Raw genomic sequence first — 19,737 nt, 5'->3', positions numbered from 1 at the left:
CCACCAATGGGGCAGGGACAGGAACTCTTCCCAGACTTGGAGGAAAGGAAATATTTGCTGAGCACCAACTGAGCACCAATCCTAATGCTCACACCTCCTGACTGGCCTTCTTGTTTTCACTCTTGCCCTTGGCCATGGTTTATCTCCACGGAGTGGCCAGAGTGATCGCGTTAAACTACCAATCAGATCAGACCACTCCCTTGTATAACACCGTCCAGTGGTATCTCTGGACATTTGGCACGAAACCTCCTCCCTCACCTACAAGGCCTATAGGATGTTGTCAGTTTCTACCTCCAGATCTCACTTGGCACTATCTTCCCTTTCCTTGCAAAGCTCCAGCCACAAGGGCTGTGATCTGGTTTGGCTGTGTCCCAACACAAATCTCCTCTTGAATTGTAGTTCCCATAATCCCAAGGGAGGAACCCAGTGGGAGGTAATTGAATCCCATAATCCAGGTGGGAGGAACCCAGTGGGAGGTAATTGAACCATGGGGGAGGGGGACGATTACCTCCATGCTGTTCTCGTGATAGTACGTGAGTTCTCACAAGATCTGATGGTTTTATAAGGGTTTTCCCCTTTTGCTTGGCACTTCTTCCTGCCATCATGTGAAGAAGGATGCGTTTGCTTCCCCTTCTGCCATAATTGTAAGTTTCCTGAGGATTCCCCAGCCATGCTAAACTGTGAGGCAATTAAACCTCTTTCCTTTATAAATTACCCAGCCTTGGGTATGTCTTTACTTTTATTTTTTATTTTGTTTTATTTTTTGAGATAGAGTCTTGCTCTGTTGCCCAGGCTGGAATGTAATGGCATGATCTCAGCTCACTGCAACCTCCACCTCCCAGGTTCAAGCAATTCTCCTGCCTCAACCTCCTGAGTAGCTGGGACTACAGGCATGTGCCACCACACCCAGGTAGTTTTTGTATTTTTAGTAGAGACGGGGTTTTGTCATGTTGGCCAGGCTGGGGGTATGTCTTTATTAGCAGTGTGAGAACAGACTAATGCAGGCTGCTCCCAGGATTTTCACTGTGTGCCAGGCCCCTTCTACCTTGGGACCCTTGCTCAAGCCGCTCCTTCCACACATAGCACCTACTCTCCCAGATCTTCCTCCACAATCACCCCACACTCAATCTCGATCACCTCCTCCTCCTGCTTCTCTCTTGGTGCCTCTGTTGAAGAACAGTCTTCATCACTGTTTATAATTGTTTATTAAATAGGTGTATTTATTCAAAAAGTGCTTCCCGTCTAGACTGTAAGCTCAAACACACAGAAGGACCTGCGTGTTTTGTTTTACACTAAGGCCCTAGTGAGTCCTGGCCACCTAATCCATGCAGAATGAATGTTATTTGTACAAATGAGTAAGTGGGTGAAAGAATGGACTTTAATGAAAATAGAGAGACTGAACCATGCCAGCGACCCAGCTGAGCCCAGCCTCCAACCACCCCAGCCAGGTGCCAGCCATGTACAAGAGCTGACCTGGATGTGCCGGCCTAGCTGAGTCTCCAGGTGACTCGCAGTCAGCCACCATCAAAGAAAAAGAATGGCCTGAATGAGCCCAGCCAACCCACAGAATCATGAGGGATAATAACATGGCTATTGTAAGCCACTACATTTTGGGGTGGTTTGTGACACAGGTACTGATACTGAAACCTTGACTTTTTGGAGTCTAGACTCTTCGTTATCTGCTCCTCCGATCTCTGACCTCTCCTCTCTACCCACCATTCCTACCACGCTCCAGAGAGATACTGACATTTGGGGACATCTGACTCCATCCAGCTCTCACATGATATGGGAGGCAGAGCAGGACAGGTCCCGGAGAGGGAGAGGCAGATCCAGGATATCCCTAGAAGGCTTCCGGAGAGGACCTCAAGGAAGGTAAAATGAGCAGTTTTTTGCAGAATCCAAAATTCAATACAGTTCCCACCTATTAACTATGTGCTTCACACCAAGCTGTGGCAGGAGCTGGAGGTGCAGAGAGGGGTGAGGCACAGCCCCTTGCGCACCAGCAGCTCAGAAGCCAGTGGGAGAGACAGACGTGTAAATAGACATCCACCATGTGGCTTGATCCACAGATCACAGAAATATATTCAATACAGAAAGGAAGAGACTCTCGTCTCAAGGCGCTAGGGTAGAGATGTTTCCACCCCCACCTCCTCGCTGAAAAGCAGCCACGACAAGAAGGAGAACAAGAAACAGAAACACAAACTCCCACCTTCAAAGAAGCCAGGAGACACCTGTAACCCCAAACCACAATGTATGAGCAGCAAGAGCAGATGGAGGGTGGTAAATGATTGAACAGAGCTGAGGAAGGCAAACCTAAGTGCCTGCTGCTACATGGTGGGGTGGAGTAGGGGCTTTGGAGACAGAAAAGATGCAAATCACCTGGTCTTGCAGAACCCTGGGGAGGCTTAGAATTAGGGAACCCAGACATCATGGATGGTGAGGCAGGAGGCTGAAAACAGGGGTTGTGTGGAAGTCTGCTTAGGAGGAGTGAGATCCCCCAGCACCACCCCAGGTCTTCTCTTTTCCATTACGTGGTCAGGCACCCACCCCTCCCTAACCCCAGCAAGGAGTATTCAGCCAGAGTTCTCTGGACCCAGAGACATTCGCTACAGGGCAGAGTGGGGGTGAGGCACCACAATGCTTTTGGAGATGTCAATTCGATGATGCCTTGCAAATAATCACTCCTCCACTCCTACCCTCCCTACCCATCACTCCTACCATGCTCCAGAGAGAGATTGACACACCCTCTATGGGAGGGGCGTGTTTCCCCTCTCCCCTGATGCTGGGCTTGGCCATGTGACTTGCTGTGGCTACTGGGATGACAACCTCCACCTCCTGGGTTCAAGCGATTCTCCTGCCTCAGCCTCCTGAGTAGCTGGGATTACAGGCATGCGCCACCACGCCAGGCTAATTTTGTATTTTTAGTAGAGACGGGGTTTCTCCACGTTGGTCAGGCTGGTCTCGAACTCCCACCCCAGGTGATCCTCCTGCCTTAGCTTCCCAAAGTGCTGGGATTACAGGTGTGAGCCACCATGCCCGGGCTTAATGCCTCATTCTGAAACAGGAGTGGCTAACACAGGATGACTGGTTGAAGAAGGCTCTAATGATAGCATTGCCCCAAATGATAAATGAAAGAGACCCAATCAAATAAGTAGAAGAAAAGGAATATCAGTAAGCAATAAAGATGATGCAGTGAGCAGAAGAAAATTTTGACAAAACCATCATTGCCATCCTTGAAGAGATAAGGAAACATATATCCACAAATGAGTACAGAATGCCATAGCAAAGAGCAGGCAGAAATCAGGAGAGAGCTGGTTGGGCTCAGTAGCTCATTCCTGTAATCCCAGCAATTTGGGAGGCCGAGGTGGATGGATTGCTTGAGGCCAGGAGTTTGAGACTAGCCTGACCAACATGGTGAAACCCTGTCTCTACTAAAATTACAAAAATTAGCTGGGTGTGGTGGCATGTGCCTGTAATCCCAGCTACTCAGGAGGCTGAGGCAGAAGAATCACTTGAACCCAGGAGGCGGAGGTTGCAATGAGCTGAGATTGTGCCACTGCACTCCAGCCTGGGTGACAGAGTGAGAGAGCGAGACTGTCTGTCTCAAAAAACACAAACAAACAAACAAAAAAATAAAATAAAAAACAGGAGAGAGCTCTTGGAAATGAAAAATAGGTTGATTTAAAAAAAGAGGGACTGGAAGAGAAAAACAGATTTTTTTAAACCTCCCAGGAAGTAGAACAAAATTATAAAGATGAGCAACAAGAAGAATAAAGATTTCATCCAGGAGACCCAATATTCAAATATAATAGGAGTTACAGAAGGAAATAACAGAAAAATGTGTCTCAGAACTGAAGAACACAAATCTTCAGATTAAAAGGCTACTTGGTGCCCCCGAAGACAAATGAAAAAAGAATCAAATCTTGTTATAAAATTTTCAGAAATTTAAGGATAAAGCAAAGATCCTAGAAGATTCCAGAATAATAATAATAAAAAAATTAGCTTAAGTTACACAATGGATTGGGATTAAGAATTGTGCTGGAAGCTGGAGACACCGACAGACGCCTTCCATCAGCTGAGTCAGAGTCATTCTCAATCTCAAATTCTATACCTAGCCTACCTATCAACATGTGTGAGAGGGGAATTCACTATTTTGAAACATGCACACCTTCTCTGAAAGTTACTGGGAGCTATGCTACATCAAAATGAGAGAGGAGGCCAGGCGCGGTGGCTCACGCCTGTAATCCCAGCACTTTGGGAGGCTGAGGCAGGTGGATCACTTGAGCCCAGGAGTTCAAGACCAGCCTTGGCAACATGGCAAAACCCCATCTCTACCGAAAATACAAAAACTATCTGGGTGTGGTGGCATGCACCTGTAGTCCCAGCTACTCAAGAGGCTGAGGTGAGAAGATCGCTTGGGCCTGGGAGGCAGAGGTGGCAGTGAGCCGAGATTGAACCACTGCACTCCAGCTTGGGTGACAGAGCAAGACCCTGTCTCAAAAACAAAACAAAACAAAACAAAAAAACCCCAAGGCCCCCATAAAATGAGAGAGTAAAACATCAAAAAGGAAGACATGGAATCTAAGGAACTGGATTCATACAGGAAAAAGCTGAAGGGAATCCCCAAACAACAATGGAGAGAGAATCTCGGGATGTCAGCTGCGCACAGGCCCAAGGGGCAGCTGGCCCAGATAAGAGGAGCTCGTCAGTCTCCAGGACGAAATCGTCCCTGAGGCTGGACTCTGGAAACTCCACTGTGTGGTTTTTACGAAGCTATAGGAACGTGTGGAAATGCTTAGTCCAAGAAATCGAAGATATTTTTAAAAACCAAAAAACGAAGCAATTATGAACTCCTGGCTGAGCAGGAAATAATATTTACATTGCATTAATCATGGGAACACTGGATATGCATTTAACCGAAACTCATATTGAGAAGATGGGGAGAAGGGGTGAGAGTGCGTAAGAAATGTAAACTTCTCCTGTACTGTAAGAGGAGTCAGTAGATAATGGGTAAAATTGAGGGATTAAGACATAAAAAAATCAATATGATATTTAGCGAGAAAGAGCTTAACTGAGGGAGCAATTGCCGAGCGGGTGGGATTACCTGTGGGATGGGGGGGTGGGAGGGATGGGGGAGGACTGCTGTTTTTTGCTGTTACAAACCTTTTCAGCGCTACAGTAGTCCACTTAGCGCAGTTTCAGTTACCTGTGGTCAACCACAGTCTAAAAATATTAATAGATTTTGAAAGAAAAAGAGACAGAGAGGTCACCATCATATAACTTCTGTTATGATATATTGTTATATTGTTTTATTGTATATTGTATTATTAATTATTGCTGTTCGTCTCTTAACTGTGCCTAATTTATAAGTTAAACATTATCTTTCTCCACCATCGTGGTGTGTGGTTGACTCCGTTTCTCGCCACAGCTTCTCACAAGACTTTCAGGATCAAGTGATTCCTGCACAAGAAACAAAAGCAAAATTGTCCCATTCCCCAGTGGATCTGTATGAAAACTGGTAATAACATCAGGTACAGCTCCAAAAGGAGATATTGGAAAGAACCAAGCTGGGTCTATAAGGAATTGAGCATGAGATGCTACACATATTCATGTTGTATCAAGGTTGTGATCATATTACCATAGCAAGCTGAAAATGTCACCACTATCTGGACAGCTGGACATGTTTGATTGGGAAGGTACTTTTTCTCTTTGTTCATATGCTCTGCACTAGTAGGCTGGGTTCAGTAATACATAGGTGAGATCTTTTATTTAAAAAAAAGTTATCAGCCTGTAATCCCTGCTACTCGGGAGGCTGAGGCAGGAGAATCGCTTGAACCTGGGAGGTGGAGGTTGCAGTGAGCCAAGATCGCACCACTGCATTCCAGTCCGGGCAACAGCGCGAGACTCCGTCTCAAAAAAAAGAAAAAAATTATCAGGCTGGGCGAGGTGGCTCATGCCTATAATCCCAGTACTTTGAGAAGCTGAGGTGGGAGGATTGCTTGAGGCCTGGAGTTTGAGGCTAGCTTGGCCAACATAGGGAGACCCTGTTTCTTTTAAAAAAAAAATTACCATGGGTATGTAAAACATCATACAGGAAAAAATAATAGCATATATATACAGGTTCACTATAATCCACGGATTCAGGCATCCACTCAGGGTATTGGGATGTATGCACCGAGGCATAAGGGGCATAAAGCGGGGACTATTCTACTGGTTTCTAAATTTACTTGCAAACAGTACTTTGATAAAATAAAAGCAAATTAAAAAATCATTGCATTACAGATAAGGAATCCTGAAGGAGGGAGTGTTGGAGAAGGGGAGGGCTCTGGAGAAGGCTGCCAGAGCAGGGGATGCCTAACCAGGCTGAAGGTGAAGAGGGGGACCCGGAGTGGCCTGCTAGGGACTCGCGGCACCGGTGAGTTTCAGATGGAGGCCCTGGTGCTTTAGAACGAGAAGAGGGCCGAGTGGCGGAAGCGCAGGCTGAGGCTCGTTACATGGGGTCCCTAGGCCGCGGTCGGGACTGTGGATTTTATTTGACGAGGAACAGGTGGCCATAGGAGGTTCTCAAGGAGGCAGCTGGGATGACTTATGTTTGTAATGGACTCACTCTCTCTGCTGAGTAGGGGGCGAGGGTGGAAGCAGGGGAGTACAAGGTGATGGTGGGGTGGAGGAGGAAAAACCCTTCTTTACTGTCTTAGGGTCTCTGGCTGGGCTGAAGAATTAAACTGACATAAGGCAGATCAGCAGGAGAAAAACATACAGATTTCATTTACATGTACAAGGGAGCCCCCCCGCCTCCCGCCCAAATGACCAAGACCCAAAGAAGTGACTAGGCATAAAGGCTTTTGTACCAGGTTGAACATAGAATGGCAATTGTGTAACTAGGAAGATAAGGATTAAAAGATCTGTTCATACAGATTTCTTTTGGCCTCGACTCTCCTTATCTGGTAATGTCTTTCCTCCTCCTGGCATAGGGAGGGCGTCTTTCACAAGGCGTTTTAGCTCCTGCTTTCAGGAAGAAAAGGGGAGGTCAGAGCCCCCTTTCTGCACCTGCTGTTTCTGAAGTGCCTTTAGTGCAGAGAAATCAATATGCCAGAGTGGTGTATTCTGGGGTGGCGTGTCCTGAACCCCTTCAGTGGCCTGGCTCAGACGGGAGCCTGTGGATGGAGAGCAGTGGACGGGTTCCAGGCTGGAGCAGTAAGGCTCGGTGCTGGGGAGGTGTGTGGCAGGGGGCACACTGATGAGCATTCACTCCTTTAACCTTCGCAAGAACCCCCAGGCCAGGCAGTCAGGTGTGTACAATCTACTGAAGGAGAAAACCGAAGTTTAAGTTCAGTGCACGGCAGGGGTAGAGCTGGGGCTCAAACTCCCCTGTCCAGTCTTCAGCCCCTATACCCCAACCTGCAGGAATAAGTGAATGAATACATGAGGCTGGGTACGCCTGGGGCACAGAGGAGCGAGTGAAATCAGCAGAGGAGGAGGCCCGCGCAGGCGGCAGGAATCAAGGATGCAGTGCCAGGTGGGCTGCGGCGAGAGAGCTTTATTCTGAGGGCAGTGAGAAGCCGTGGGTAGGGGTGGGTGGTCAGTGCCATGGAAAACCCACCCTTGACCCTGAGGACACGCTCCCAGGAGCCCACCCACACCTCATGAACTTGTACGGACAAGGACAATGGGAGGCTGAGACCTGGAGCAAGGGCCTTGTCCCGGGCACAAGGCAAAGGGACGGGCAGCGTTAAGAGACCAGGCCGGCTCCGGCTGGAAGTGGGTGTGTCCTACTGTGTGCTGCCGCATGCATGGTGGCACCTCTGGATGCATTCAACTTCCAGTTCTCTGCAGTGCCAGGTACCTAGTGACAAAGGAGGTCCAGCCCTGGTCCCAGGGAATGGCCCAGTTTGGAAAGCAGCCTAGGTACAGCCTGGCACATAGTAGGTGCTCAGCCAAGACGTGTGTCCTTTTCCCTTCCGTCTCTGACTGTTCCTTTCCTTATCACTCCTGTGCTGAGGCAGGAATCAGCACAGGCAGGGGCACGGCATCCCAAGACATCTGGGCCTGTGCTCAGGACTGTACGGCAGAGTCTCTTAGACCAAAGATCAGTAAATATGGCCCACGGGGCAAATCCCACCCACTGCCTGTTTTTGTACAGCCTAGGAGCTGAGAATGGTTTTTACGGATGAACATTTGCAATCGGTTTGATGAAACACTAACTCTAAACTCCAATTAAGCAAAAGGTGATGTCTGTAAAAAGAACTCTATTCTTCTCATGAGTGGACCTACATTACAAAATACTGGCCTCAATTATTATTATTCTATTTTGAGTTTTGTCAGTTACAAAATAGTAAAAATCTGTTTTCTCACTGCACAATGATTTTGCCCTCAAAGCCTAAAATATTGGTTCTCTGTTCTGTCCTTCCACTCCTCACCCTGCCTGGGGCTCTCCAGATGTAACCAATCCCAGGACTAATGACCCCCACCCGGCCTCCCCAGTGGTCCGTGCTGCGGCCGGTGTGCCCGACTGCAGGGCTGGACTGTGGACTCCCGGGCTGGCCAGCCCCACACCCAGCCTTGCCTTGGGACACAGCTGCTGCCCCGGGGGACCTGTGCCGCAGTGGCCTCACGAGCTGCTCTGGCTACTGGCTGGCAGCCTCGGCTCCCCTGAGCACTGAGCACATTCTTCTCTCCAACTCCCTGCAGGAGCCAAGGCCAGCGGGCGTGGGTGGCTGAAATCTCCCCGGTAACAGGGTCTGCGCCCCTCCTGCTCCCTCTCCGGGCCTCCTCCCTTAACCTGCACCCCGCCCCCACCCCCCACACCTGCTCTCCGGCCCTCAGCCCCTCCCTGCTTACTCCCTCCTTCACGGGCTCCATGTCACCATCTGTGGCACAGTCCCTCTCTGTCACTCTCCCTGCCACCCCCTCATTCTCCTTCCTCCCTCCTGCCTCTCTCTGCATCTCTCCCTCTCACCCGTGTCTCCTCTCCTCTCTTTCCTTCTCGTCTTCTCCCTGTCACGCATCTCTCATCACTCCCCCTCATTCTGCCTTTCCTCCTACTCACGGTCTCCTCTCCCTCTCCCTCTCTCTCTCTCCCCCTCCCTCTTTCTCTCTCTCTCTCTTTCTCCACCTCCTCCCGACCCCCTTTCCCCTCTATTTCTATTGGCTTCTGTGTCCCTTGCTCCCCTCTTCTCTTCCTCACCCTGGGAAGCTTCTCCCCCCTATCCTTGCCCCTGCCCCCCCAGGATGTGTCCTGGAGATGGGGGGTGACGTACCAGGCTCTGGTTGGGAAGTCAGGGCCGGAGACCAGATGGGAGAGGCTCTGTGGACAGCCGTGGCCGAGGGCCTGGGAGGGAACCTGAGCCCGCAAGCGGTCTAGAAGTGGGTGCCTTGTGGGGACCCTAGTTAGGAGTGCCCTGGGGGCACCTGGGGACTGGGCAGGGAGAGGGGACAGCAGAATGATAACCAGCCTGGCGGCAAGGAGGGAAGCCCTCACCCCATGGGCAGGTAAGGAGGCTGGGGCCCGGATGATGTCCCGAAGGGTGGGGTCCTGGAAGCCCATCCTCTGCCCAGGATGAACTTGGGAGGCTGGGGCTGGGGAGGCAGAGGGTGGGGACTCCCAGGGAGGCAGGAGGGAGGCCTTCCTGTGACCTCCCGGTCGGCTGCAGGGGCAGGGGCGTTAGTCTCAGAATCTCGTGCCATGATTCTAGGATCTCGGAATCACAGAATCGCAGGCTGTCAGGGCTGGAGGGAGCCAGATGTATCATGTCGTTGGCTTCCCCAGCTCACGTGGCAGCTCTCCTGAGCTCCCCCTCCATACCCGGCACTGTGCTTGGCACGCCTCCGTTTAATCTCTGCAAACAACCCTGGGAGGTGGGTCCGCTTGTCTTCCATATGACGAAACTGAGGTGCAGCGGGGAGAAGTGACTTGCCCGAGGTCACACAGCAATTTGGCATCATCGCTGTGCAGCAGAGCCCAAGCCCCCAGCGCTGGGCCTGTAGGGTGTGCTCCTGGGATCAGGCCCCAGGCCTGGGGTGCCAGTGAGTCAGTCGGCACTGGCAAGCATAAGCCAGGTGTCTTTGGGGGGAAGGCCGAAGCATGTAGAGGACAAGCAGAGAGCCAGGGGCCATCGCCCTGCACTATTCAGGACTGTCATGGCCTTTGATCCTTCTCAGCCTGAGGCCTTCAGAGGAGCCAGTGTGGCCAGGAGGTACTGATGGTTTAGAAGTAGATAGAACTGGGTTCGAATTCTGGCTTCCCACTCTCCAGCTGGGTGACCCTTTGCAGCTTACTCAACCTCTCTGAGCCTCAACTTCTTCCTCTCTAAAAACTCTCCCTCTTGGGCTTCTTGAGGATCTCATGATGTGAGTCTGAGGCTTCCATCCGGGGACAATGTCCCACCTTGGAGCTCTCCTTGTTGAACGGCTTGGCTGTTCACATTTATGGCTGTTCTGGGTGATGTCCTAGGTTCTGGGGTTAAGAAATAAATCATTCAGGGCCCCTGCCTTCAAGAGCCAGTGTTCTAGCGGGTGGGAGATGGGCAAATGGAGAATGATTGGGGTGCCTGGCCTCCCTGAACTGTTAGGGCTGTGCGGCTCAGGACAGCCACTCACCCTCTCTGTGCTGTCTCCTCCTGAACAGTCCTCCAAGGAGTCCGCCCCCAGCTTTCAGGCAAGCTTGTGCCAAAGATAAACCAGACAGGGAGGAAAAGTCCCTCCTTCTCAAGGATGAACTAGATCATGCACAGGATTCCAGCTCTAAAGAAAAGACGGCACCTCAATTGCAGGTCTGGCTTACGTGCGTGGAAAGCTGTAATTTCCCTGCTTCTGCTGCCTGGGCCCCTCAAACTTTGACAGGGAAGACCGGCTGAGATAAGGGTGGAGACAGGGTTTTCCAGGAGGGGGCCAGGGGTTCTGGGAGGGGCGACTGCATGCCCTGGTACAAAGGAGGGTCTGGCTAGGCACGCCGTGTTCCTGCCAGGACCATGTGTGTGTCAGCGCATGCGCTTGTGGGTGCACAGACATGTGCTGGGCAGGCGTGGGGGTGGGGCAACCTCAGAGCTTACCCCCAGCGGGCTACCCCAGGGGCATATGTCCCTGAAGCCTGGAAATTAGGCCTGCCCAGCTCCTTGCTTCTCTCAGGAGCCTGGTGCTCCCCTCCCTCATCTAGCCCTGGCTTGTGATTGGCTGACCAGCAGGGATGCTATAAAGAGGATCTGTGCACAGCACAGGGCAGCAAGGTGGATGGTGACGCGGGTCCCCTACCAGGGAGGCAGGACTCTAAGGTTCCAGGTTGCACAATTCCAGGTCTAAGAAGGACTCATTCTAGCATTCTGGAATTCTAACATTCTCTGATTCAAGGATACTGAGTCTAAAATCCTATGGCTGTAAGATTCTCTGCCTGTTCTAAGAATTCAAAATTCTATTTTTAGATCTCTAAGGTCCATTAGGCTTTGAGTCCATGATCCTCATAGCTCAAAGCCCTGGGGGCAACTGGGAAAGCGGATGCCAGCTGGGCACTCAGGTGGGTGCCTTCCCAGGCCTGGCTTCAGTTTGCCAGCCTGTGGAATGGGCGTAGAGGTGGTCACTACAGATCTTTCCAGATTTGCCCCTTCCTAGCTGTGACCAGAACATGTGACCTCACGTTTGCTCCCCATCTGTGCAGTGGGGATGACAGTAGTGCCTCCCTCGTAGGACATCATAGGATACTGCAGCTCACCAGCTTAGCCTGGCACCTGGCACAGTCAGGGCTCAGTGATGAGCAGCTGGCAGCACTGTTAGGATCCTCTAGCCCACTGTCCAGGTGCCCCTCCCTTAGTGCTGCTGTCCCAGGCTCAGGAGACCTGATGAAGGGTTGGGGAGAAGGATGGGTTGAGGACAGGTTAGGGGATGACCCAGGCTCAGAATCCTTCTCTTCTCCCAGCCCCAAGAACAGGGAGGAGATGCTCTGAACCCAGCCAGCTGGAGAAGCCACGGCCTAGGGGTTCCTTGCTACCCTTGGCTTCACCCAGCCTGGCACTCTGAGCCCGCTGCAGCCCCAGGTCCTTGGGGCAGGGGTAGCCAGGCGTGCTCAGAGGCGTTTGTTTGGATTTGGGGTGCCTTCCCTTCCCAGGAGCTTTGCACATCAACAGTGACATCCATATAGGGCAGTGCGGACCACAGCTCCCATTGGAGGGAGGAAGTGCAGGCCCAGTGTCAGGGATATTAGAAGAAGGGCTTCTCCTCTGAGAGATTTATCTTCCCTTCAGGGTTTTCTGCAGGGAGAATCCAAGGACAGCCAGGAGCCAGGGGATTGGGGGATCATTAGGAAGAGGGGGTGCAGTGGGTGGTCCAGACCCCAGAGGAGGCTCCTGCATCCAGCCTGGCTCTGCCTGGGCCTCCTCCTGAGCGTGGCTTTCCTCAGTGGGGCCTGACATTCCCCCTTGGCACTGGGCTTGGTCCACTGAAGGCTTCTCTGGTTCATTTGATGCCTGACACTGAGGCAGAGCTCGTGCCTGTGCGGAAGTGATGGGGCAGAAAGCAATGGGGAGGGTCCAAAGCTGGCTGGAGACTCCACAGGGGAGGGGATCAGAGTCTCGCAGGGGAGCCCAGAGGAGCCCCAGCTTCTTCTGCGCAGGCATGGGATGAGAAAGACACTAAGAAAGCACCTGGAGTGCGGGGGGGCTCTTGCTTATGCTGCAAATCCCTTCTGAAAATGTCCCCTTTTCCAGGCAGCTGGCCCCTCCAGCCAGGGGGAGGGACTACTCTTGGATAGCATCTGCTAAGTGAATTGTAAAGTTCTCCAACCCCAGCCGGCCTCTGGGGAGAAGGGGCCTCAGCCACCTGCCCCCCAGGTTCACAGCCAACCTTCCTGGGCAGGGCCTTTGGGAGGGGCACAGTGGGATGGCCCAGGCTGAGGGGGCACCTAAGGACTCTGACTCCCAGGGGAGGGGACACCCCAAGCCTGTGGTTCTTAACTCCATTTGGAACCTGAAGAATCTGATAACAGATCTGACATTAACCTTCACCTGGAGTTTAGGGCGTTCATGGATCCTCTGAAGTTCATCTAGGGAGCAGGTTTCCAGGTGAAGGTCCTGTGATATGAAGCAGTGTTTTTCAGATGTGAGGGCGAGACCTGTTGGTGGCAATGCAACCCACTTCACAGGGCCCTGCCAGCTGGGGCCTCACATGTAGAAAGGAAGGGCAGGTATTTGTTGGTGAAACAGTATGACTTCATGCCACACACCACACCCTCACTCCACGATGGAGAATGATCACCTCACCTCCCTGAGCCTCAGTTTCCTCATCTGAGAAAAGGGGATAACACGACTCAGCCTTGCGGGGCTGTGCGGGGTGAATGAGATGGTGCGTGCTAAGCACCTCCCATCTTCTGAAATCTCTCAGACGATGGGAGGATGGGCGTGCAGCAGGTCCCCAGGTTCGGCATGATGGGAGGGGGCAGCACAGAGAAAGCCATTCTCTGCTGTGACCGAGCTGTTTTTCCTTCCCCCAGGCAAATAGCTGACTGCTGACCACCCTCCCCTCAGCCATGGACATGCTTCATCCATCATCGGTGTCCACGACCTCAGAACCTGAGAATGCCTCCTCGGCCTGGCCCCCAGATGCCACCCTGGGCAACGTGTCGGCGGGCCCAAGCCCGGCAGGGCTGGCCGTCAGTGGCGTTCTGATCCCCCTGGTCTACCTGGTGGTGTGCGTGGTGGGCCTGCTGGGTAACTCGCTGGTCATCTATGTGGTCCTGCGGCACACGGCCAGCCCTTCAGTCACCAACGTCTACATCCTCAACCTGGCGCTGGCCGACGAGCTCTTCATGCTGGGGCTGCCCTTCCTGGCCGCCCAGAACGCCCTGTCCTACTGGCCCTTCGGCTCCCTCATGTGCCGCCTGGTCATGGCGGTGGATGGCATCAACCAGTTCACCAGCATATTCTGCCTGACTGTCATGAGCGTGGACCGCTACCTGGCCGTGGTACATCCCACCCGCTCGGCCCGCTGGCGCACAGCTCCGGTGGCCCGCACGGTCAGCGCGGCTGTGTGGGTGGCCTCAGCCGTGGTGGTGCTGCCCGTGGTGGTCTTCTCGGGAGTGCCCCGCGGCATGAGCACCTGCCACATGCAGTGGCCCGAGCCGGCGGCGGCCTGGCGAGCCGGCTTCATCATCTACACGGCCGCACTGGGCTTCTTCGGGCCGCTGCTGGTCATCTGCCTCTGCTACCTGCTCATCGTGGTGAAGGTGCGCTCAGCTGGGCGCCGGGTGTGGGCACCCTCGTGCCAGCGGCGGCGGCGCTCCGAACGCAGGGTCACGCGCATGGTGGTGGCCGTGGTGGCGCTCTTCGTGCTCTGCTGGATGCCCTTCTACGTGCTCAACATCGTCAACGTGGTGTGCCCACTGCCCGAGGAGCCTGCCTTCTTTGGGCTCTACTTCCTGGTGGTGGCGCTGCCCTATGCCAACAGCTGTGCCAACCCCATCCTTTATGGCTTCCTCTCCTACCGCTTCAAGCAGGGCTTCCGCAGGGTCCTGCTGCGGCCCTCCCGCCGTGTGCGCAGCCAGGAGCCCACTGTGGGGCCCCCGGAGAAGACTGAGGAGGAGGATGAGGAGGAGGAGGATGGGGAGGAGAGCAGGGAGGGGGGCAAGGGGAAGGAGATGAACGGCCGGGTCAGCCAGATCACGCAGCCTGGCACCAGCGGGCAGGAGCGGCCGCCCAGCAGAGTGGCCAGCAAGGAGCAGCAGCTCCTACCCCAAGAGGCTTCCACTGGGGAGAAGTCCAGCACGATGCGCATCAGCTACCTGTAGGGGCCTGGGGAAAGCCAGGATGGCCCGAGGAAGAGGCAGAAGCCGTGGGTGTGCCTAGGGCCTACTTCCCAAGGTGCCACAGGCCCATGATGGGATGTTGAGGGGCCTGGACTTTGATGCTATTGCTGCCAGGTCTTGCTGTGTGACCTTGGGTAGGTTGCTTCTACTCTCTGGGCCTTGTTTTCTCCTCTGTGACTCAGGGATAGGAGTCATCAGCCTGGATGAGCTATGTCAGATGAGAGGTTTGGAGGGCACTGTTGCTGGGCTGACCTGGCTGAGCAGGCAAAAGGTGGGTGCAGACTGGCCTCCCCCCAGGGATGGAGTGTCTTGGGGCATCAACTAGAATCTTGGCCCTCAGAGGGATAAACCAAGGCCAGGATTTCTTGGGCTCAGAGTCAGGAACACAGGAGCTGCTGGGGGCTGGGCTGGAAACCTAAACAGAAGAAAGCCTAACCCGGTGGGAGGAGTGGGGCAGAAATGGTCAGGCCCCAGATCAGCTCCCTCCCCTCGACTGTGAGGCCTTGGACCAGCTCTGCTCCTCTCTAGGCCTCAGGCTTCACCTGGGTAAAACCCAACAACCTCTACACCCTTTTGGCCCAGGCAGTCAATGCTGGAGGTCCTGTGCTCCTGGACGGGAAGAGCAGGTGAATTTCCTGCTCATGGAAGCGAATGAAGTCCAGCTTCAGGGTCTCTCACTGCCTGGGCTTTTGCAAGGCCCTGCATCTACTTTTGTACTTGTCATTTTGTATTCGTTTTCTTAAAGAGGGACCTCGAACTGCATAAGCTTAGGCCACCCAAAGCCTGGCTCTGCCCCTGCTGAGGTCAGCCACCCAATCCCCAAGGAAGCTCATGTTGGGTCTTATGGCTGGAGTAGGGGCCCCCGGGGGTTCCCAGGTCTTTTGAGGGCTTCCAGGCACCTCCTTGTAGGAAGGGCCATCCCTGTTCCTCTCCTTGTGACCCATATTCTCCCTTCCTGGAGACCGAGACAGGGACCCAGCCCATGAGGACTGGCATGGAAAGGCAGAGTGTCTGAAGAGCGCTGTGAGGAGAAGGAAGAGGAAGGGAGAAGAGGAAGAGGAAGGAGAAGGAAGAGGAAGACAAGGGGGAAAGGGGAGGATGAGGAGGGGGAAGGAGAAGTACAGATCTGTTTCCTGGAGCCGTCTTTGGCCCCCCTGGGCTGAGCTCAGTGGTAGCATCTGTGAACCTGAGTTGCCGACAACAGCCCCACCCAACCAGTACTGAGGGAAGGACACGATCAGGGTGGAACAGCCAGGGTGCAATGGCAAATGCACAGAGTACAGACAGGCACAGGGCCTGCGTCCCTGAGGGGCCTCAGAGTGCTGCCAAGAGGGCTCAGGCCTTAATAAAGCCCTAGGGTGGAGCTGGCTACCAGGGACATTGGGAGGACTGGGGAGCTCCCTCCCCATGCTCTATCATCCTGGAGACTACAGGTCGGGAGGCCCAGGGAAGACAAGAAGAGGCTGAAGTGGGACTGTGGAGGGGGACCATGGGGAGCAGCCACCATCCAAGGCTGGGCCTAGACTCCCTCCCAGAGATGGTCCCTCAGAGCTGTGGTGAGGCTGGCCCTGGGAGGGTGAGACCCCCGGTGAAATCCTTCCGCTTCCCCACCCCTTGCAGAGGGCAGGGGTCCTCAGGGAAAGCACAGGAACCAGACTTTTGGAGACTTGGATCTTCAGCACACCTCAGGGTCCTGGGCTGGCATTGGCCTTCCGGGCCTCAATTTCCCCATCAACAAATGGAGATGAATCCCAGCTTGGCTGCCTCCTGGGATCTAACGAGAAAATGAGTCATGTGAGGTAACTTCCAGGCTCACTGCAATGGGTACGGTGGGGTGTATCAGATTATAAAGTGGGGGTGCCCTCCTCACCCCCAGGCTTGGCCTATACCCCCCTCTCCATCAAGTGGCCTCTCTGTGTCTGTCCTTTGGGGTGAGGACACTGTAGGCCATGAGAAATGGGCAGTTGGGGGGTCAGAGGCCAAGGGTTAGGGAGGCAGGGCTTGGGGAGAGTGTGGGACCATCAGAAGAGAAGGAAGTTTACAAAACCACATTTTGTGTGGAGATGGAGGCTGGAGGCCCGGCCCTGGGACTTGGTCTGGGGTTTCTTGAGGAAGATCTGAGGGTCCAAGGGAGGAAGGATGCCCTGGCCTTCTGGCCTTCTCTGGCTGATCCTGCCTTCTTGCTGCCTAGGACAGGAGAGTAATGTCCTAGAATGGTCCCTGGGAGGCCAGTTAGGAAACCCTTTGCTGCTTCTGTCTCTAGCTCTTGTCAATAAAGACGGTGACACCTGATAACAGCTGTGGCCTGGGCCAATTTCTCCGCCAGACACTGTGTCCTGATGGGTGTGAATGTGTAGGTGTGTGTGGGCTCCGTGCACCCTGGCCTGTTCGGGTGTGACCTCCCAGAGTCCAGGTCCTTCAGGGAACATGGAAGATACCCTTGATGGGGCTGAGCCCACATCCTTATAGACCTTGATCCAAAAGCAGTAGATGTCCTTTCTCCCTATTATCCAAATAGCAGATTTCAGGGAAGAAAGTGGATTGGCTCCAACTAGGTCACATGATGGTCCCTTGGGCCAATCACCAAAGACGTGGTGATAGGGTGCCATGGTTGGCCAGGTGCGGGTCATGTGCCTACATTTCCAGCCAGAGAGAAGGTAGGGCACTGTGATGGACACTCTGGCCTGGCCTGTGGGGCAGGGGTGGGTCAGGGACAGCCTACTAATGGCTAGGGGAGGTGGGCCAGGCACCAGCAACCAACAACATGCGGGTCTGGGTGTGTGTGGGGTTTGCTGTGTGTGGCTGCCTTTGCTGGGTGTGATATTGTGTGTCCAGGTTTGTGTGAGCCCAGTGCAGGGTGCACAGTAGGTGGTCGGGACATCTTAGCTGCGTCCGTGAGTGAATGGGCACTGAGGTGTGACATGCGGCCGGTGTGCAAGTGGTGGGAGTGGAGGAACTGCTGGGGCCCCAGCGTTGGGTGGGAGTGGCTGCCTGGGTAGGGTCCCTCACCTAGCCCCGGCAGCCCTTGCTTCCCCACCACACTGGGTGTCCCCGCCTGTGCATGCTCACGTGCAGCCTGTGTGTGCATGTGCTTGTCCCCCCACACACGTGTGTCTGGCAGCCTTGCGTTCCCCGGGCCTGGCAGTGCTGCCGTGGCCTTTCTTAGGAGTATCTGGAATGAATGAACAAAGGGGGCCACTGCATGTCACAACTGCAGGGGGTACTGTACACGCTGTTCCTGTAACCTCCTGTGAAGCTACAGCATGGTGCCTCTGAATAAATGAGTGATAAGGGGCAGGGGTACTGAAGGAGCTTGTATGGGGTTGGGGCTAGAATCTGTGGGTTAGGGGAGCCATTGGGGCTGTAGGGTGAGGGGAGGCTCTGCAGTTGTGAGCAGGAGCAGGGAGGGAGGAGTGATGATAACGCACCTTGCCCACTCCTCTCCTCCTCCTCCAGCCATTGAAGTTGCTCAGACCAGAGGCTTTACCTTGAACTTGTCTCTCCGAGGCGGTTGCCAGGCAACAGCCCTTGGCCACCAGGCTCTGGACCAGGACTTCCTGCATCAGCATCAGCATTATCAGAGGGGAGCTGGGAACCCGCAGGGCCTGGGGCAGGAAAGACCACGGCCCCCAGATCTTTGGGATCCTCTTTACCTAGAAGCGATGGGGCAGGTGAGGCCACTGACCCATGGGAGTTGACAGCTGGACTCCACAGGACTCCACACAGAAGAAAACACAGCGAGCGGTCGGGCTCAAGCCTGTAATCCCAGCACTTTGGGGGGCCGAGGTGGGCAGATTGCTTGAGCTCAGGAGTTCGAGATCAGCCTGGGCAACATGGTGGAACCCCGTCTCTACCAAAAATACAAAAATTAACCAGGCATGGTGGTGCATGTCTGTGATTCCAGCTACTTGGGAGGCTGAGGTGGGAGGATCGCTTGAGCCCGGGAGGCAGAGGTTGCAGTGAGCCGAGATTGTGCCACTGCACTCCAGCCTGGATGACAGAGGGAGACCCTATCTCAAAAACAAAACCCCAAACCAAAAAAACCCACCCAAAACAAAAAAAACACGGCGAGAAGGCCAGGCTGTAGTGTGAGGGGCACCCCCTGGAGGTGTGCAAGGCCACCATCCCTCCAAGGCCTCAGGGTACTCCCTGTCTCTGGCAGGCCCTGCTGAGCATCTCAGCAAGTCCACTGGAGGGCTGAGGGAGAAATGTCTCCCTGAAAGTCATGGGGCCAAAGTCAGCAGGCCTGGGCCCTATGTCTCCCGCAGCAAACCTACTGTGTGGCCTTGGGCCATTTATTTCACCTCTGGATGTGGTTCACTTAGCTAACAAAGGCTTTTCTGAGCACCAGCTGTATGCAAGGTCCTGACATGCGGCTGGGGGCCAGTGCAGGCAAATGGACAGGGGTCCCGCACTCTCAGCACTCACAGGCAACCACACAAGGAAGTGTAGCCCTATTTTGGGGGCTCAGTGGGGAGGGAGAAGTGCAGTGTGCTCTGGGAGAGCACTAGGAGGGTTGGGGGCTGGTGGGAGCTGCATCTAGAGTGGAAGTTTCAGCCTAAGTGTGCCAGGCAGAGGTATCTGCACGTGCTAAGGCCCTGAGCTGGAGGAAGGCAGTGAGTGAAAGGAAGAAAGGTAGCAAAGAGGCCCCTTTTTAGGGACAGAGAATGTGTCACACAGGGCTTCCTAGGGCATCCATTCCTGTTAAGGCTGAATTCTGTCCCCCTCTAAATTTCTATGTTGAAGTCCTAACCTCCAGAGCCTCAGAATGTGACCTGATATTTGGAAATGGGGTCATCACAGTTGTAGGTAGTGAAGAGGTCATACTGGAGCAGGGATGGCCCCTAATCCAATACGACTGGTGTCCCTAAGAAGCGGGGAGGCCAGGCACGGTGGCTCATGCCTGTAATCGCAGCACTTTGGGAGGCTGAGGCGGGTGGATCACCTGA

The 19,737-nt window shown here is 54.0% G+C and overlaps 1 protein-coding gene and 1 pseudogene across 6 annotated transcripts, besides 6 other annotated features; both read left to right on the top strand.

Moving 5' to 3' along the window:
• Positions 1–768: 768 nt before the first annotated feature.
• On the top strand, positions 769–17,080 carry SSTR3 (somatostatin receptor 3). 6 transcript variants are annotated; one of them, XM_017028924.2, is made up of 3 exons: positions 5,151–5,696; positions 6,283–6,415; positions 13,478–17,080. In XM_017028924.2, exon 3 carries the CDS (start codon positions 13,514–13,516, stop codon positions 14,768–14,770), a length of 1,257 nt encoding a protein of 418 aa, XP_016884413.1. In that variant the 5' UTR covers positions 5,151–5,696; positions 6,283–6,415; positions 13,478–13,513; the 3' UTR covers positions 14,771–17,080. The 6 variants fall into 6 exon arrangements, with proteins under 6 accessions (XP_005261778.1, XP_016884413.1, XP_047297429.1 ...); XM_006724311.4 differs by lacking the exons at positions 5,151–5,696; positions 6,283–6,415 and adding exons at positions 8,840–9,492; positions 10,628–10,772; XM_005261721.5 differs by lacking the exons at positions 5,151–5,696; positions 6,283–6,415 and adding an exon at positions 769–910.
• Positions 1,991–2,210: an enhancer, noted in NCBI's record as "active region_18952". NCBI's record gives its function as "activates an Ori minimal core promoter by ATAC-STARR-seq in GM12878 lymphoblastoid cells {active_cell/tissue: GM12878}" and the evidence as "EXISTENCE:reporter gene assay evidence [ECO:0000049][PMID:35858748]".
• Positions 2,361–2,530: an enhancer, noted in NCBI's record as "active region_18951". NCBI's record gives its function as "activates an Ori minimal core promoter by ATAC-STARR-seq in GM12878 lymphoblastoid cells {active_cell/tissue: GM12878}" and the evidence as "EXISTENCE:reporter gene assay evidence [ECO:0000049][PMID:35858748]".
• Positions 2,561–2,660: an enhancer, noted in NCBI's record as "active region_18950". NCBI's record gives its function as "activates an Ori minimal core promoter by ATAC-STARR-seq in GM12878 lymphoblastoid cells {active_cell/tissue: GM12878}" and the evidence as "EXISTENCE:reporter gene assay evidence [ECO:0000049][PMID:35858748]".
• Positions 5,097–5,176: a silencer, noted in NCBI's record as "silent region_13682". NCBI's record gives its function as "represses an Ori minimal core promoter by ATAC-STARR-seq in GM12878 lymphoblastoid cells {active_cell/tissue: GM12878}" and the evidence as "EXISTENCE:reporter gene assay evidence [ECO:0000049][PMID:35858748]".
• On the top strand, positions 5,382–5,771 carry RPL39P41 (ribosomal protein L39 pseudogene 41; annotated as a pseudogene).
• Positions 9,022–10,001: an enhancer, noted in NCBI's record as "H3K4me1 hESC enhancer chr22:37607356-37608335 (GRCh37/hg19 assembly coordinates)". NCBI's record gives its function as "activates a minimal SCP1, AML or CMV promoter by ChIP-STARR-seq in naive H9 embryonic stem cells {active_cell/tissue: H9 hESC(naive)}" and the evidence as "EXISTENCE:reporter gene assay evidence [ECO:0000049][PMID:30033119]".
• Positions 17,347–17,396: an enhancer, noted in NCBI's record as "active region_18949". NCBI's record gives its function as "activates an Ori minimal core promoter by ATAC-STARR-seq in GM12878 lymphoblastoid cells {active_cell/tissue: GM12878}" and the evidence as "EXISTENCE:reporter gene assay evidence [ECO:0000049][PMID:35858748]".

The sequence above is a fragment of the Homo sapiens genome, chromosome 22, assembly GCF_000001405.40.
Source record: "Homo sapiens chromosome 22, GRCh38.p14 Primary Assembly".
NCBI lineage: Eukaryota > Metazoa > Chordata > Mammalia > Primates > Hominidae > Homo > Homo sapiens.
The sequence above is the reverse complement of the archived record's forward strand: the minus strand, read 5'-3'. Positions and strand labels throughout refer to the sequence as shown.

What these genes read in the sequence shown, in the direction of transcription:
- SSTR3 (XM_005261721.5), top strand. Translation starts at nt 13,514, where the DNA reads ATGGACATGCTTCATCCATCATCGGTGTCCACGACCTCAGAACCTGAG.